A 17,127-nucleotide genomic window follows, 5' to 3' on the forward strand; every position below is an offset into this window, starting at 1 on the left:
ATCTCTTGGTCTTCATTCAGCCTTTAGCACTGGATCTAGGCTTTCTCTGGTATTGTATTCATGGAAGCGTCTATGACTTGTTTACTAGTTACTATTTATGTGCCTCTATGTTTGCTCCTGGAACGTGGGCATTTTGGTTTACTTTTATGACCCACAGAGCTTCTACATACAAGGACTTTTAAAAATTTTAAAAATCAAACATTGGACTAGGTTGCCTTCCTCGTTTAAGCTGTAGGTTATGTGTACATATATATATATATATACACACACACACACATATATATACACACATATATACATATACACACACATATATACATATACACACATAACCTAGAGCTTAAATGGGAAAGGCGACCTATATGTATATGTATTATGTATACACACATAACCTAGAGCTAAAATGGGGAAGGCAATCTATATAATAAATTATTAAATCTTCAATTGTATTATAAAAAGAATGACATTCGAGTCATGATAGAAAAACAAGATTATTGTTTATAGAGGTATCACTAAAATATGCATTTTGTAAGGCTCATTGATTTATTTCCAATTCAAGAAGCAACATAGACATACAAAATGGTTCATTAGATATTCATTATACCTCCTTGGCTGCTATTATTAGAAGTGCCCATGGTGCCAATAGCAAGGTTGATGTTTTCAGGGGTGGAATCAATGCTTGAAACTCATCAATATCTTATAAGCAGTTTTGGTTTAAGGTATTTTGATGATTTCATTGAAATGTTTTACCACATTAAAAAGCTGTAACTTAAACTGTGGTGCAGGGCAGGCGCACATTAGATGATAAATAGCTTTATGTAAGATTTCAAATTTGTTAAATCTGCATTGAAGAACTACATTTGAAATTGGTTGGAAGGTTGGGTGAATTCTCTAGGTAAAAATGACATTTGTTTTACGGATCCCTCTGAAACAATTCCCCAAGAGTTTTCATTTGAATAAATCACATCTAAGTTCAGCACTCCAGAAACAGCTAGCATGGGAGAGTTGCCTTTGCTTTTCTGTTTCCTCTTTTCTGGGAAAAGAGTCAATTTCCTCATCTGTAAAGGGAGTGAGACTAGATAACCTGGAGGTCAAAGTACTTACAGCCTTTCACTTATTAATTCATTCACTTAACGCTTATTTACTGAGCAGGGGTGGGCATGTTCTGGCACTAACGGAACAGCAACATACAAAACGTAGTCCTTGTTCTGGTGGAGATGACATCCTACAAGGAGAAAGACAATAAACAGATGAGATAATTTCTTGAATAATTTACTGCTACGAACGCAGTAAAGAGTATTGTGTTGAGAAGTTGTGGGTGGATGGGTGGTGCCAGCAACTTTCTCTGAGAAAGAGTCATTTCAGCTGAAAAGAAGCCAGGAGTGAACATCTAGAGGAAGAGTATTCCAGAGAGAGGAACAGCCAGGATGAGAGGCAGTGCAATAGCATGCTAGGGGAAGAGAAGCACCCAGGTCTTCCCTTCTTGGGTCTTCTTCCCCTGCCTCTGCTGCAACTGTGAATACTGTGCTGTGAGGAAATGACTGAGGCCAAGGTGGCTGCAGAAAGAGTACAGAAGGGAGAGAAATCGGAGGATGGGGAACACTGGGGTCGGAGGTGGATAGATCTGTTACAACAGACTAGGCTGCACTTCAGTGATGAGTAAACACCCTATCTCAGTGGCTTAACCAAGCACATGTTTCTTGCTCGTGTTATGGTCTGACGCCAGTCTGATGCTCCTCTCTGAGTAGGGATACAGATTCTTGCCATCACGTGTCTCCACCATCGCAGGGTCCTTTACTTTCAGTCTCATGAATTGGAAGGGGAGAATGAGTGGAAGATTGTGTTGAATGTTTTAAAGGCCAGCCCTGTACAGGCTGCCTGACTAGAATCCAGTGACATGACTCTAATCTAATTGGTGAGCATGGAGTCAGTCTTTGCCAAAAGAGAAAAAGGCATAAAAGAAGGGATTCTACTGCTCTCCCCAAATCCTTGAAGACTTGCACTGCACATGTACCATCTTGGCCAGGAGTGCTGGTGAAGGGGTTTGGATGGGGAGGTAATGTCCTCACAGTGATGACTTCTCATCATCTCCACTAGACAGTACACAGAGAAGAAAGACTGGGGAAAAGGTCACCATTTCAGCCCTGGAAGGGAGCTCAGGAAGATGAACCTCTCACTTTAAGCTCAAACCAAGTTATTTTGCTGCTTCTTCAGAATCTGGAGGAAGAGCCAGGCTTGATGCAAGAGGCTCCTAACTCCTATTGCCTGGCATTAAAGACTTCCTTCCATCTGTCTTTAGCTCATGTTCTATCCAACGCTGCTTCTCACATCTCAGAACATCTGCTCTAGCCAGGCCAGACTTCTTGAGGCTTCCCATCCAATAGAGAATGGACTTCATTCCCCTGTGTTCTCATCATTCTTCTCTTGCAATGCCTGGTCCCTCCTCTCCATCCAAATCTATGAGTCCTTCTTATCTTTGTGGAACTTCACCGCCTTGTGGAGCCTCAGCTCTGGGGGGTCATGTGCATTGTTCCTATGTACTACTGGTGGAATAGGCTGGCTCAAGGGGGGTACAGTCACAAAGAGGCCGTACATTTCTTCTACCTAGCTTCAGATATGCTCAGGCAGGTCCCTACTTCCTGTGCTTTAGAGACATCTCATGCAGATGCCTTGGCTTTCTGGATTACTTCCAACTACTAGAAAAGCCTCAATTCTGATAATGAGATTTCTTTTCAGTGTTAAAGGTCCAGTTCAGCTTAACGTCAAACTTCAATCTCACCTCCATATCAAAGTTAGTGATATCGGCTGAAGCTCAGGCTCATGCAGTTGGGAAGGAGGGGTTGATTGGCAATTTTATTCTCTCTCTACCTCATCTCTCTTCTGGCTCTTCCAGGATCCAGGCTGGTATTGGTGAGATTAGAGGAAGAGGGACGAAAAACAACATCTCACATCAAGATTCTGCCTTGGCTGTGGTTGAGAGGCCCTGTGATGCCCTTCATTCCAGCAGGGTTCTTTCATGAGGCACATTTTTGGCAACCTAGAGGAAACTCCTCCCACTCATCACATAACCTTCAACCACTTCTCCCCCTTACTCCACTCCAGCCACGCTGGCCTTCTTTCTATTCTCAGTCTGGGAAGTTCCATTCAGCCTCAGAGCCTTGGCATTTTCATTCTCCCTGCCCAGAGCCTGCTCTCCCTCTCCTTTCTGAGTAGCCCCTAGTGATTTTTAAAATCTTGACTCAAGCGTCAATTCTTCAGAACACCCTATCATAAACTCTTACCAGGGCAGGCCCTAGTTGTGCACTCTCCCAGCCCCTGTAATGAAGACATTAATTGTATAAACAGTTGTTTAGCGTCTATCTTTCCTACTTGAATGTGAGTTCCAAGAAGGCTTGATAAATTGGTATATTAGGCTGTTTCTGCATTGCTGTAAAGAAATACCCAAGGCTGGGTAAAGAAAAGAGGTTTAATTGGCTCACAATTCTGCAGGCTATACAAGCATGGTTGCAACATCTGTCTCTGGTGAGGCTTCAGGAAGCTTACAATCATGGCAAAAGGCAACGAGAAGCCAGCATGTCACATGGTGAGAGCAGAAACAAGAGAGAGAAAAGGGGGAGGTCCCAGAGTTTTAAACAACCGGGTCCCTCATGAACTAACTTGAGTGAGAACTCACTTATCCCCAAAGGGATAGTGCTAAACTATTAATGAGAGATCTGCCATCATGATCCAATCACCTCCCACCAGGCCCAACCTCTTACACTGGGAATCACATTTCAACTTGAGATTTGGAGGGGGCAAATAACCAAACCATATCAATAGGCATTTGTAGAAAGACAGAACAAAGGAATGTTCCTAATAAGTAAATGAGTACCTCGACTTGCCAAGCAGACAGTAGACACTTAATAATTATTTGTAGAACTGTCATGAAATTGAAGGCAGGAGCCATGTCTGTTAATTTCTAGATTCATGATATGACTTAGTTCAATAAATACCTGTTGCCCAGTGTTTTGAATAACCTCATCAGAATTAACACAAATAATGGAGAACTGGCTGGAACATAGTTCTGACCTGCACTTTATGGATGTTCCTCAATGTCAGCAGAAGAATTACTGCTATCTTTACAAAGAACTGTGTCAGCCAAGGCATGATTCTTGCCTTTAATCAGCTGACTTTATGTTCTGTAGTCTGGGAAGAGCATGATTGCAGGAAAGGACATGGATAATGTAACCGTAGATCCAAAGAATGACAGTTTCTAAATAATTTGTCCCTTTATTCTCTTTAGTGCACTTGTACTTCTATTAGCCCAACCAATCCAATTCTTGGTTCCCCAAACAGGTTCACCATATGTACCTTCAACCTGACTTGTATGAAGACTTGTTTTATTAGTCACAATTAGTTGCAGGTGCAAAGACTGAGGGCACAACTAACTGTGTCTGGAATCACCTCCTCACATATGCAATTAAACACTTGCACACTCAGAATTAGGTTCAAGTGGCTAATTGCACCCGGAAGTAGGTAATTGCAGGTGCAATTAGCTACAAGTGCAATTTTTCACCCGAGACTAATTGCTCCCAAAGTAAGGAGATAGGGATTGGAAATTCAGCACTGAATGTATGTGTGGTTATTGCAACCACCTGTGATTTTAATAGTCGCTGCCCCCCCCACCCCCGCACAAACTTGTAGTGTGGTGGCCTCCCTTTGGTCTTTTTGAATAGTTAAATTGCTTAACTCCTTCTGTATATTTATTCTACAGCATTCTCTTTCCAGTTGGGTATTCTTTTCCCTACTTAGACCCTGTTTCTTCAGAATTTATTTATTTTCTTCTGGAACCCCTGGCTATTTAAAGGCCATATATTCCTCCACTGTTTAACTGTATCTAAAACTTCTCAGAATCTAAGTAAGAAATGGTCAATAACTTGAACAGCTTACTGGATGGTAACCATCAAGTAGCTCTTGAACACTGTTCCTTGAGGAATATCATTTAAACATAACAGATGTAAAGCTCTTCTTCCCATCCCTGGTGACGAGGAGATGGATCACTCCATCAAAGCACCCAGAAACCTGTCTTCACTAGCAGGTTTAATTTTTTCCTACTAGCTTTTCTCCTGTATCAGTAAAAGTCCAATCAGGAAAGCACCATCTTTTTTTATTATTTTATTTTATTTTATTTTATTTTTGATATGGAGACTTGCTTTGTTGCCCAGGTTGGAGTGCAGTGGCACAATCTTGGCTCACTGCAACCTCTGCCTTCTGAGTTCAAGCAATTCTCCTGCCTCAGCCTCCCAAGTAGCTGGGATTACAGGCAGCCACCACCACGCCCAGCTAAATTTTTGGATTTTTAGTAGAGAAAGGGTTTCACCATGTTGGCCAGGCTGGTTTCAAACTCCTGACCTCAAGTGATCCACCCGCCTTGGCCTCCCAAAGTGCTAGGATTACAGGTGTTAGCCACCATGCCTGGCCAGTTTTTTTTTTTTTTGTTTTTTAATGACTGTAAAATGAAAGCATAATTGGAAAAAATTCAATGAATTTAAATTGAATAAAGTTAAAATAACCAAGGAAACCAAAACTGTTAATACTACTACAGAAAGTCTTTTGATCATGTAAACATTATTTAAGTAAGGAGTTGATCACCATAGTTATTTTAACAGAGATAATTTAATAAAGGGGATTATTAGGCTAGTATTAGGACTGAAAAGGCAAAAAAGGAACCTTGAGGCATCTCAGTGACGGTAACTGCAGGGAGCAGCTACCACCCCAAGGGCTGAGGAAACAAAGCAAGAGACTGGGGTTAATAGAACCTAGATGCTTAGGGGAAGGGCCCAGCAAAGCTGGAACACAGGTCTCTGGTGGAGGGTGTTCCCAGGCTGATGCGGACTCTCAGCAGCTTGAGGAGGGATCACATAGAGCTGGGACTCAGAGCTCTTAAGAGGGGACACTGCCCAACTGGTTTTGTACCCTTGGAATTTGGAGAAGAGACTTGGCAGAGCTGGGACCCAGAATGTAGAGTGGGGCTTCCTCCCAGGTGGTCCTGAACTGTAAGCAACCCACTAAACACTGCAGCACTATGGATAAAATGGAAAAAAATGCCTGCAGGATGTGCCTTGGAACCTGGGGCTTGTGGTCTTTTGTTGGATCCAACCAGGATGAAGCATGTTTTGATATGGGCAGGTAAAAAAGGGGCATGAAGTTAGTGAATCAGAGCCTTTGCAAGTGTGTACATTTACGTGTGTCTTTTCTCTGTGTTCGGCATTTTCCTTTGCATGATTTTATTCTCATTCTTTCATGCTGAAAATGCTTGCGTGTGTGTGTGTGTGTGTGTGTGTGAGAGAGAGAGAGAGAGAGAGAGAGAATATCATAGTGAGTGCAAGCCAGTGGTGGTCATAAAATGGTAATCTTAGCAGGTGTGTACAGCTGGCCCTGCCCAGCGATCTGCAGCAGATTTCATTTCCTCATAGCTCATCTGGCTGGTTGATCTCCTTTTGCCCTTTCCTGCTGTGAGAATTCATGGCCAGCCTGAAGCCAACCTCCTGGCTTCTGTGGAGTGCTGACTCCTCCACTTCCCTGCTTAGTCACTCTGAGGTGGAACAGGATCCCACTTGCTAAGCTAGTGGCTGCTTCTGCTGAATGCCAATCTGAAGGGGCGATCAACCCCTTTGAACTCCCTCTGGCTATTGAGTCTGCCATTGTTCAGACCCTGCAGTGTGCATGGACTGGTGACAAAGCCCGGGTGAGGAAGCAAGAGATGACAACCGGAGGGGAACAGGGGAGGGCAGGAAGGCCTTTGACTTGGCCTGGACACCTGGCGATGCTTTATTGCCCCAGACAGACTCTCCTGCTCCAAGATCCAGCCCAGGGGCTGTGAAGGTCACTCGGCGCTCGCCGCCCATGGGAAGGAAGTGTTTCCTTGGGCAGCAGAGCCAGGCTCCTTAATGACTGCTTCAGCTGAGCATTTCTACTTGGAAAGGAGAGCAAATGTTCCTTTGCCCTTGCCACCCTGCTTAGTTGCAGCTTAGGCCTCTCAAGAGGGAACATAAATATTAGGGAAGTTGGGTCACCTACCAGTGGTTTGGGCTAAGAAAACATTTTTTTCTTCTCAGGAAAATGAATAAAACCACATGATGGAAAATGCTAGAAATAGAGGAAAGGGAACAACAGCTTTAAAAAATCTGAGTAACCTGTAATAATCACTAATAGCATTTGAAGGTGTTTTTACCCACCCCTCCCCTGTGCAAATAGTTCATTCATTCATTCATTCTCTAAGTGTCAGTTGAGTGCCTACCATTGCCACTTGCTGGAGATAGGACCCTGAACAAAATAGATCAAAAGTCTAGCTCCTAGGAGCTTCTATTCTTGGTAGGGGAAGAGGGGCACATCTTGCATTCAGTTTCTTTTCCTGTTGTCATTTGTCAGTCAATCTCAGCAGCACTTCCCTTGTCATTGCATTGTCTTCATACCCATTATTCTGATGATTGCTTGTTTTTCCGAGTGAATGGCTCAGACTCCACTTAACCATGTCACTACTGTCCAGTGGTTTCCATCTGCACAGTTTTAAATAATGCTGTGGTTAGTATATTTGTGCAGGCAGATTTTAAAAAATAGATTTTTGGGGTAATTTCCTCTCTGGCTATATCTTACACAGTATCAGGTAGGACTCTTGGTTACAAACAACAGACCCCAAATCTGGTTAACTTAGGCAGAAAGGGAATTTGTTGGAAGGCTATCTATCCAGCAGCCTATGGAATTATCAGAAGGCTGGAGAACCAAGCTCAGAAAAGCATCAGGAACGAGGGTCAGGGGGCAAAAGTACAGCACAGGTCCACGCCCTGTAGAGTCCCTGAGACCTGCTGCAGGCCCCTCCTCACTACCTCCTACTCTCCTTTCAGCTCTTCCAGCTTTCCAAGGAGAAATCTCTCTCCTCCTGAAGCCTCCGTCTTGCATCCTGGAATCTTGAGTTCAGGGTGGAGCACTGGTGGCCGGGTGAAGGTCAGCAGCCTGCTGTTCTGTTTCCAGGGAGTGAGAGGAGGTGTCCTTCCTGGCTCTCCAGAGAGGAAGTGGCTGCTGCCCCTCACCTCAACTTAGGGAGGCTGCTTGGACCCTCAGTAGGAAAGAGGAGAAATATCCACTACAAACACGTTCCTTTTCTTCTTATATATGTGTTTGTTGTGTGTGGGATGACAGAGGGTAGGGACACGGTTAAAGACACATCGAACATCACCTGCCAGAGAGGGGTGTAAACACTTCTCTGCATTGCTAGTAGGGTCCAGGTATTCTCAGCACCTCCAGCAGCCTGGGGGACTCAGCCTCCAGGACTGGAGAAAAGAGGGTGAAATTCACATTGATGATTGCTTTTTGATAGGTAAGAAAACTGGGGCTTAAAAAGGATGTGTGACTTACAGCGGACTATGTTGCCAGCAAACCTGGGCTGCGGGGACTTGAGTCCAGGTCTTCTGAAACACCCGAGGGTTAGTTGGACAAGTATTACTTCCCTGCTCTGGGCTGGTGGCCTATAAGGGGTGCCTGGAGCAATCCTCTTGCTGGGACAAAAGCCCTTTCAACAAAGGGGCCTTTGTAACAAGCCTTTCTTTGTCTGGCCACCAGGCTGTTCCCTGGAGTAATTAAAGCCTGTAGTCCTTAGATATGAGGCTGGCTAACACTGCTTGACAGGAATACAGCAATGTGAGTTTGGGTGCCAATGCTAGATTGGAAATGCATGTCTTCCTGCTCCCAGACACCTAGGCATGAACCACATGGCTAGATGGCCCTGCCCCTCCTCCCTGGCCACTCTGCGTAGAGGAGGACAGCACCCACTGGTCCTACAGGATGGGGGCTAGTGGCACTCTCCTGGGCAGTGCCAGGCAAGTAGACTGTCATGCAGCTTTACTGCTGTGGCCGCATCTCTGGGACCTGCTAGTGGACATCTGGCTTACTACTACTGCTCAGAGGAGAAAGGTCACAGCCTTCCAAGGGTCCTTGGATATCTGGCACTGTGCACCTGCATCTTGTCCACAGTGTCCCCCCTGGGGTGGGGAGGTGCCTCTTTCCTTTGTCTAGGGAGATGGTCTCCCCTGGACTCCCTTGGGGTCTCAGGACACAGCATTAAAATTGGCTTGTGTGTTTAGTCATCTTCTGTGAGGCTGGACCTTTATGCTAAAGGTCCCTCAACTAGTGGAGAAAAGACAAGCTTTACTCTCCCCAGAACTAGGAAGTTAACCTTTTATGAGAGTTGTACTGCTGGGGACCGCGAAGGACACCGGAAATAAACTCCGTCTCTGCTCTCAGAGAACTTTAGATGTCTCTCGGTGCGGCCACCACTTGGAGGGGAAAAGAGAAACTTCTCTCATTAAAGGCAGTGCCCTGGCTCAGGGCCTTCTCAGGCTGAGAGCTCTGTGGGGCTTTCACTCACCCTGTCCCCTGCAGACACCTGAGGTGCAGCTCACCTGCCAGCGAACGAAGGCATTCCAGGTATAGGTTAAAGTGGAATTTCGGCATTGGCAGAGTTAACATTCATAAATTCAACAACTTGTGTGTGCCCTCAAGGGCCCGTGGCAGGAGACGAGGTTTAATTGTGCTGAGGCACACATTTCCATCACATGGGGTGGGTGGGTCTCTTCACTACTGAGAACTGGGTACCAGGGTTTCAGCAGTTTTGGGCTCTTGGTTCCTCACCACCAAAGGCAGTTTGTGGGGGATCTTTATGTTTCAGCAGTATTTGAGAATCTGGGGAGTCATGAGCGGCTCAGGCTGGGTCTCCTGGTATGCAGGAGGTATCTGGTGGGGAGGGTGCTGGGGTCTGGGAATCCCCCCTCGCCATGCCACTTCCCCTCAAGTCCCCAACCCTCTGGAGCCCTCAGGCTTGGGATCAGGCTTTTTCAGGCTCAGCCCCACCTGCCAACCAGGGGCGGGTGCACCCACCCTCAAGATGCACACAGCTGCATTGTCTGCAGATAATTTAAAACCAATAATAAAATCGACTGTGAGTCAGTTTGCTTTTTCTTATCCCTAGGCCAGTAATTCTAAACAATGTCAGTGATAAAATAATCCTCCCACAAATCTTTTGTTTGTCCATTTTCTAAACAATTGCTGTGGTGACTATTGAATTTTAATTCTATACACTCATATACATCTGTGTGTATGTGTGTGTGTATACATATATACCCATATATATACACACATACATATATATGCTTCAAATTAGCATAGTTAATTACTTATCCTTTTACTAATATTATAGTCTATGTGAAAGTTACTTAGGAGAACTTCCAGTAAGAAAGAACAGTTCAAGATGGTTCGAACTGGCTTCAGGCACAGTTTGTGTCTCCAGCCCCTGTTGTACTAAGTATGCCTGCATTTAAATAATCGATAAAGGATGATAGCACAGTAATTGCAAAGCCAAGACACAAAACCTGAGTTAATTTAATTCTGTCATTCTGCACAACCACTTGGAATTTTAATTTGTGTTTAAAGTTTAGGAAATGCAAATTTTAGTTCATACACGAGATATTTGACTGGATTTGAATAATATCTTGAAAATTAAAATTTATTCTGTTTAAATTATTGTTTTAAAGCTAATGAATGAATCATGAGAGTAATAATAATTAATGATTATTACATGATTCTCACTGAAAATAATTTTGTCCCATAGAGGAGGGTACTAAAAAATGATCAGTTTGGGGAGTCAGATATGTTATCTTGGCCACTGTCCATGGTGATGCAGATGACAGAAATTGTTCCAGTTTATTGAAACAGGAGAGCATTAATAATCAGGTATTAATTGGCCTATGAACATTTTGGAAGTGCTGAACAAGCAGATTCTGGTTTGAGCTTTCAGAAACAATTCCAGTTCCCCAGATGATGCTCTGATATGATTGAGGGAAACTGCATCCCCCACTGTCCGTGGCAGAGCCCACCATTCTGCCATGATCTGAGCTAGCAAAGTAAAGGCCTCGTGCTGTGCCTCCCATCCCACTGACCTGGCTCTCAGTTGAGGTCTCATGCAAGTGGCTCTGATTGGTGGAACCCAATCCCATCAGGAACCCTACCTGCAAAGGAGGAAGAGAAAATTAGTTTTTCATTTTCTGGTGTCTACAGTATAGACTGGTTCCCTGAGGAAGTTAGGAATGGAGGCTGAGCCAGCTGGCCTACAGCATCCTTCACATCTACCCAACCGAGTTTCTACACTTGACCTTTTGGTCTCTAGATGGGGAAGAACCTCCCCTGTCTGGCAGCCAGGTTCTGCCTCATGCTGGCTTCTGGAGAGAATGACTGTCTCTGTAGTGAAGTGTGTCCAGCCCAGCTATTCTTTTCTTTTCTTTTCTTTTCTTTTTTTTGACAGGGTCTCACTCTGTTGCCCAGGCTGGAGTGCAGTGGTGCAATCTCAGCTCACTGCAGCCTTGACCTCCCAGGCTCAAGCGATCCTCCCACCTCAGCCTCCCAAGTAGCTGGCACCACAGGTGCATACCACCACATCTGGCTATTTTTTTTTGTATTTTTTGTAGAGACGGTGTTTCATCATATTGCCTAGGCTGTTCTCAAACTTCTGAGCTCAAGCAATCTACCTGCCTTGGTCTCCTAAAGTGCTGGGCATAACAAGCATGAGCCACCATGCCCAGCCTCAGCTCAGCCATTCTTATGCTGCCTCTTACCATACCCCCACCTTCCCACACCCCATGGAACTTCTCTGCCTAGGCTCTCCAACTTGGAATCTTCTGCTGGTGCATTGTGAGTAATAGCTCCAAATCTTCTCTCCCTCAGCACACAACCATCTCTTGAGTAAAGGCTGCTTCAAAACTCCCACAGCTTTTCATAATGCCACCCCTAAACTCTGCCCCCAACTAAAGTGCATGAATCTTTATCATTATTCTTTAATAGTAACTTTTTGGGGGATTCTTCTCAATACATATTTGCAGACTAAATATAACTCTTGTCCTCAGGATTTTTCACCATCATTCTCATAACATTAAAAAGATTCTAATTTGCATCTAAACTTGGGTCCCTAAATCTCAGCCCTCCTGTCCCTTGTAGGGACAGTGGGTGTTTGTGGTGATGTTGGGACTGAGGAGTAGGTTCCACAATGACTAGGCTAGAGGGTGACTCTTCAGAGAGAGGCAGGATGCAACCTTGGCAGGGAAGTGCCAGGTGAGGCCCAGGGAGGTTTGAGCCCTAAGTCTGTCCTGTGGCCCAGGACACAGGGCCCACATCAAAGACTGAAGCTGCTTACAAGGTAGGAGGAAAGAACATGCAATGACCTGAAACTGAAGAGGCTGGATTTCTTTCTGTCAGAGGCTCTTAATAGCTGTGTGACCATAGACCAGTCACTTCACCTCTCTAGGGAAGAAGGTTACTTCCAATGAAGATGGTTATTTACTTGTGAAGTAGTGGGACTAGGAAAATGGGTGGCACAGAAGGAAGGAGGAAGCAGGGTTTATGACGCTGGCATATCTCTCTCTGGACTGCCTCTGGAGGAAAGCCCTGAGACAGCACAGATTCCCCGCATGGAAGGCTATGCCTTGCTCTACCCCACCCTGCCCTCCGCCACCAACAGGGCACTCAGAGGAAATACATCCAGAATCCTGAGCTCCAACATGGAGCAAAACCAAGGATGGAAGTGGGCCTGGCAATATCTGGGCTAGAAGTCATATTTCCTCATTTTCTTTTGAACATGGAACCCTTTTCCCGAAAGGCTTTGTTCTCTTCAAAGCACAGTTTCCCAGTGTCTGTCCTGCAGGGACACTTTCATCACACACACACACACACACACACACACGTATCTATAAAATTGATTTAATTTCTTCCTGGGTTCTCATTTACCAAAATAACAAACCAACTAGGAAGTCTCTCTAAAGGAGAACATGGTCAAGATCAGACTCTTCTCTAAAGATACAGCTAATTCCAGCCAGCACATTAACATTCTAAAGTTAAAAGTGCATTGTGAAATGTAAATCGATGTGACATTGTCAAACAAAATGACCTGTGGGCTTGGGAGGTTGGTGCTTGTAGGAAGAGGCCGAAGTGTGCATCTTAATCTTGATTTCCTTTGGGAATATTTCCTCCACTGTGTTCCTGACTCTGATTATGTTCTTGTGCGATCAAAATAGCTCTAGTCTCCAGGGCTGGACAGTTCCTTTTTCTTTCTTTCTTTTCTATTCTTTCTCTCTCTCACACTCTTTTTTTCCCCACAGGACAAATTATTGTTGTTTTGATCAGTGACAACTGTTTGATTTTTTAGCTATTAGTATATACATGTGCACAAAATCCCATCCTATTAGGAAGAAAAGGATTGGATTTAAAGTCCTGCTTGTTGTATAGATTATTTAATGCACAGGGGCCTTAGAAAACCAAAGTTCAGCATTCAGGGGTTGACCTCAAAATGGCATGAACAATCCAATAGGCAAGCACCAGGTTTCTTCATTTATATCCATAATCACGGGATATGATGAAGCCTTTGGCCTTAGGAAAATTTCAGTTGGGATTTGTATTTAACAGCAAGCTTATCTTTGGCTTGGCTTTAAATGGATAGTAGGGACAGTGTAAGCCAGGTAGTAACAGAAGCTCTGAATTACAGTATAAGGTCTGTCTCTCCAAGCTCTTCTTCCCTGTCTATAACATCATTTGGAAACTTCTCTTCTGCACAGTGTCATAGCCATTTTTTGGATCTTGAACCACAGCCTAGTATTCAGGGTATCCGTCTGTCTCCATATCTGGACTTCACTCAGACACTGCCTAAACTCTCTTTCAATTTCTTTAGCTATGTACTTCAGTGAACGGCAAACAAACAGATCATTTTCCTGATGGTGATAAGGTGGTAATAGACTTTACTTCATTGCCTGGTGCCCTTCAGATATGCTTCCTACAAAACTCCTCAGCAGAACAAATATAGTTACTGAATTTGGTTACTGGTACACAATGAAATAACAGTGCAATAACATAGTTACATGGTTATAATATAGTTAAATCATGCAGCAAGTTGCACACAATAGAAAATGCAGTTAGGCAGAGAGAATGAAATTAAGGGTTAGAGGTAAAAGAGAGGATGTATCTTTAGATGTGATTTGAAATGAAAAGCAGACACCCCAGAAAGGACAAAGATGTCACCAGATGATGCCTGAAGAAGCTGCTTCTCTTGTCAACTAAAGCAAGACTGGGTAAGGACAGTGGGAAGGGCATGTTCAATTGGCTGTATAGCTGATTTTGTATAGCCCTTCTTCCCCTCCACTGTGATCATACTGATTTAGTCCTTATTACCTTTTCTGGCCTTTACAATTGCTAAATAGCTGATCTTCCAGTTCTCTTCTGAGTTATCCCACAAAGCACTGCCAAATCAATTGTCCTTTAACACCACTCTGATTATATCATCCTTCTCTCCCAAATCCTTCAAGGCTTCTCATTACTTACTGAAGTAGAGTAAGTAGCACTTTCTTAGCTTGGCATTCAAGGCTCTTTCTTCTAGCTGTACTTCTCAGAGTGAAGCAGCACATCAGCATCACCCGGGAACTAGTTTAAAGTTGCAGAATCCCAGGTCCCATCTTAGACCCATTGGATAGGAATCTGCATTTTATCAAGATCCCCAGGTGATTCATATGCACAGAAAGCTTGAGAAGTGCTCTAGCCAAACTAAAATACTTAACAAATATTTTCTTTCCTATTTCTGGTTTTTCCCTATGCTACTATATCCACTTTTACATCATCTTTGCCTATCTACACATGGGACCCTTTTATGATCATCTCAAATGTTATCTCATCCACAGAACCTTTCCCCATTATCCCATGGACAAGGCAGACTGATCTTCAGAATGCCTACTCTGCCCTTTATAAACTGAACTTCCCCCTGATGAAAGGGTAGTTTTATTATACCTCTTGACTTGGTCCTTTTGGCCATAGGGAGTTGGTCCATGTTGGATAATCAACATTAGAGCAGTTCAGCTAGAGGCCACCCAGTAACCCAGAATGTGGTCACATGAAATGTGAGTAGTGACAATAAAATTTTCTCTCCATTTTAGATTTAAATAAAGCAGCGATTACTAACACTAAACACCAGGAGACAGAGTCAAGGTCATGAGAGGTTATGTGCAAACTACAGTTATGAGGAAACAGAAACTTTGAGTAGCCAAGTTGGTAAAGACAGGAGGATGGAGCAAACATGTGGACATGGTAGACATGCCATGAGAGAAAGACAGAGGAGATGGAGAGAAAAATGGGTTCGCAGATCTGTCCAAGTTCATGATGACTTTTCTCTACCAGGTCATAGGTTCTTATAATAACATCTTCTAATCCCCATTACTTGAGAAAAATTACATAAATGTCCATTACTGGCAGCCAAGATACCCTAGTTTAGATCCCCAGGTGGAGCTGGCTCCATCCCTGGCCTTCTCTTTGAGACTGTGGTCCTCATTCTTGTTGACTGTTTCCCAGGCTTACATTATAACACCTGTGATGCTATAAACCCCAGCTACTAACAAATAGTAATAAGATTGTGTCCTCTCATTTTTTGAGCACTAGCAAGGTGCATGCTTAGAAATAATCATAGGATTGATTCAAATTGAATTCTAGGGAAGCAAAGCATTAAAGTAAAGGGAGGTGATAGGATTTATCATTAATAAGGCCAACTGAACTGTGGAGTGGTCAGCGTTTTTTTGAAATCTCTGGTGCATTGTACCAATCAAGCCAAAGAGCCACAATCTAGCGTGTATTTTTAATGCAAGCTGTTCGATGTCATAGCAGCAAAATTAATAATACCCATCTCTCAGAAACCTGATCTCAGCTGATGCTATTTTATCAGGAAAATAATTTCTTATAGTTAGTTGGATGTACCAAACACATGTTTCCAGCTGGTCAGCAATCTTCCTTCTTAACCTTTAATCTGCTCCAGGCTGTTCCTACAGATTACCAGACAAATGACGTTTTGAGAATTATGGGTCTCTGCAGGTTGAAGGAGGCAGCTTCATTGCTACTATTTGGAGGGTTGCCTCCCACTGAAGGTCAGTGTGGGTCTGTGCTTGTGTGGGCCTGGTGGTATATGCAGGGGAGCTATGTGCACTAAGGGAAATGGTTTTGTGTATGCATGCTTTTCTTTTAGTGTGGGTTATCAAGCTGAACCTTTGAAGTGTCATTTTACTTGTTCAGAAGGGAGGCAGAGAGGGGGCCCTAATTTTACAAGTACATGGGGATTTCTTTCCCCTCTCTTAAGTCTCTCTTGAAGAACATCACCCTCCAAATCTGGAGATTTCATCTGCTTTTAAGCTGGAAGCTTCTTCTTTAATGGCTTTGTGACTCACAGAGCTCGGGTGATGGTTGCTTTTTCTGTGTGTAGAACTATAATCCTTCTCAATTATCAAAGACATAAATTACTATTATTTCCTTACCAGATCGAACATCTTGCTTAAATATGTGAAAGAAAAATTGTTGGTTGTCTGGTGAATTTTCCTCTTGGAAAAACTGCCTATTCTTAATCTACAAGTTCAATGAAAGTTCAAAAGTTTATCAGTGCAAACTCTATATTCTAATAATTCATCAACCAGCTTCTACATCCACATCAGTAGACTCCAGGTTGAGACGTTTTTGTCTTTTCTCCCATGTAAAAGTAATCAAACAGCACATTTCCCGGGCATATCACAAAAACCTATTGATCATAATCAGAGCACAGATGGTATGAGAGAGCTTGGCTGACACACAGGCCCTGATGTCAATCACAGGAACAAATTGATTTTGACTGCCCGGTCATGATTCTTCTACCACAGCAGAATTCCATTCAGTGTTGTGTTTGGAGAATTTTGAGCAGACAGCATTTCTGAAGGGGTGTCATAGTCCAAAGTTATCATAGAGGTAAACTTGATTACTGAAAAAATGGTGATTTTAATGTACTTCGTACTTACCTTTACGACAAGAAGGTCAATGTCTTTCTCCTGTGTTGAAAGAGCTCTCATCAATTTAAAATTTATCCTGATTTATGTCTGCTAATTAGGGGAAAGGAAAATACTGATTTGCATTCTTCTATGACAGTATGCAGTGCCATTACTACTTTTCTCCAACTGGATTTGTTTTCTTACTCATTTTTTAAAACTTAATTTCTTTTTCAAAGATGCCAAATCGATGTTTATTTCTAAATTTTACAAATTATTCTCTTTAAAATTT

General features: G+C 43.4%; 2 long non-coding RNA genes across 5 annotated transcripts in view, besides 1 other annotated feature; one reads left to right on the plus strand and one right to left on the minus strand.

Moving 5' to 3' along the window:
• LINC03122 (long intergenic non-protein coding RNA 3122) overlaps nt 1-17,127 on the plus strand; it is a 93,238-nt gene that overhangs the window by 28,893 nt on the left and 47,218 nt on the right. The window lies entirely within an intron of this gene.
• Nucleotides 1-17,127, minus strand: part of LINC03152 (long intergenic non-protein coding RNA 3152) — a 35,276-nt gene that overhangs the window by 3,496 nt on the left and 14,653 nt on the right. Inside the window, exons 6-7 of the long non-coding RNA NR_109910.1 lie at nt 10,971-11,039; nt 1,105-1,225 (exon numbers count right to left, since the gene is read on the minus strand). This is a non-coding gene — a long non-coding RNA (long intergenic non-protein coding RNA 3152). The remainder of the gene's footprint in view (nt 1-1,104; nt 1,226-10,970; nt 11,040-17,127) is intronic.
• Nucleotides 6,309-6,809: an enhancer, noted in NCBI's record as "H3K27ac hESC enhancer chr5:60968788-60969288 (GRCh37/hg19 assembly coordinates)". NCBI's record gives its function as "activates a minimal SCP1, AML or CMV promoter by ChIP-STARR-seq in naive H9 embryonic stem cells {active_cell/tissue: H9 hESC(naive)}" and the evidence as "EXISTENCE:reporter gene assay evidence [ECO:0000049][PMID:30033119]".

This window comes from Homo sapiens, chromosome 5 (genome assembly GCF_000001405.40).
Source record: "Homo sapiens chromosome 5, GRCh38.p14 Primary Assembly".
NCBI classification, from domain to species: Eukaryota; Metazoa; Chordata; class Mammalia; order Primates; family Hominidae; genus Homo; species Homo sapiens.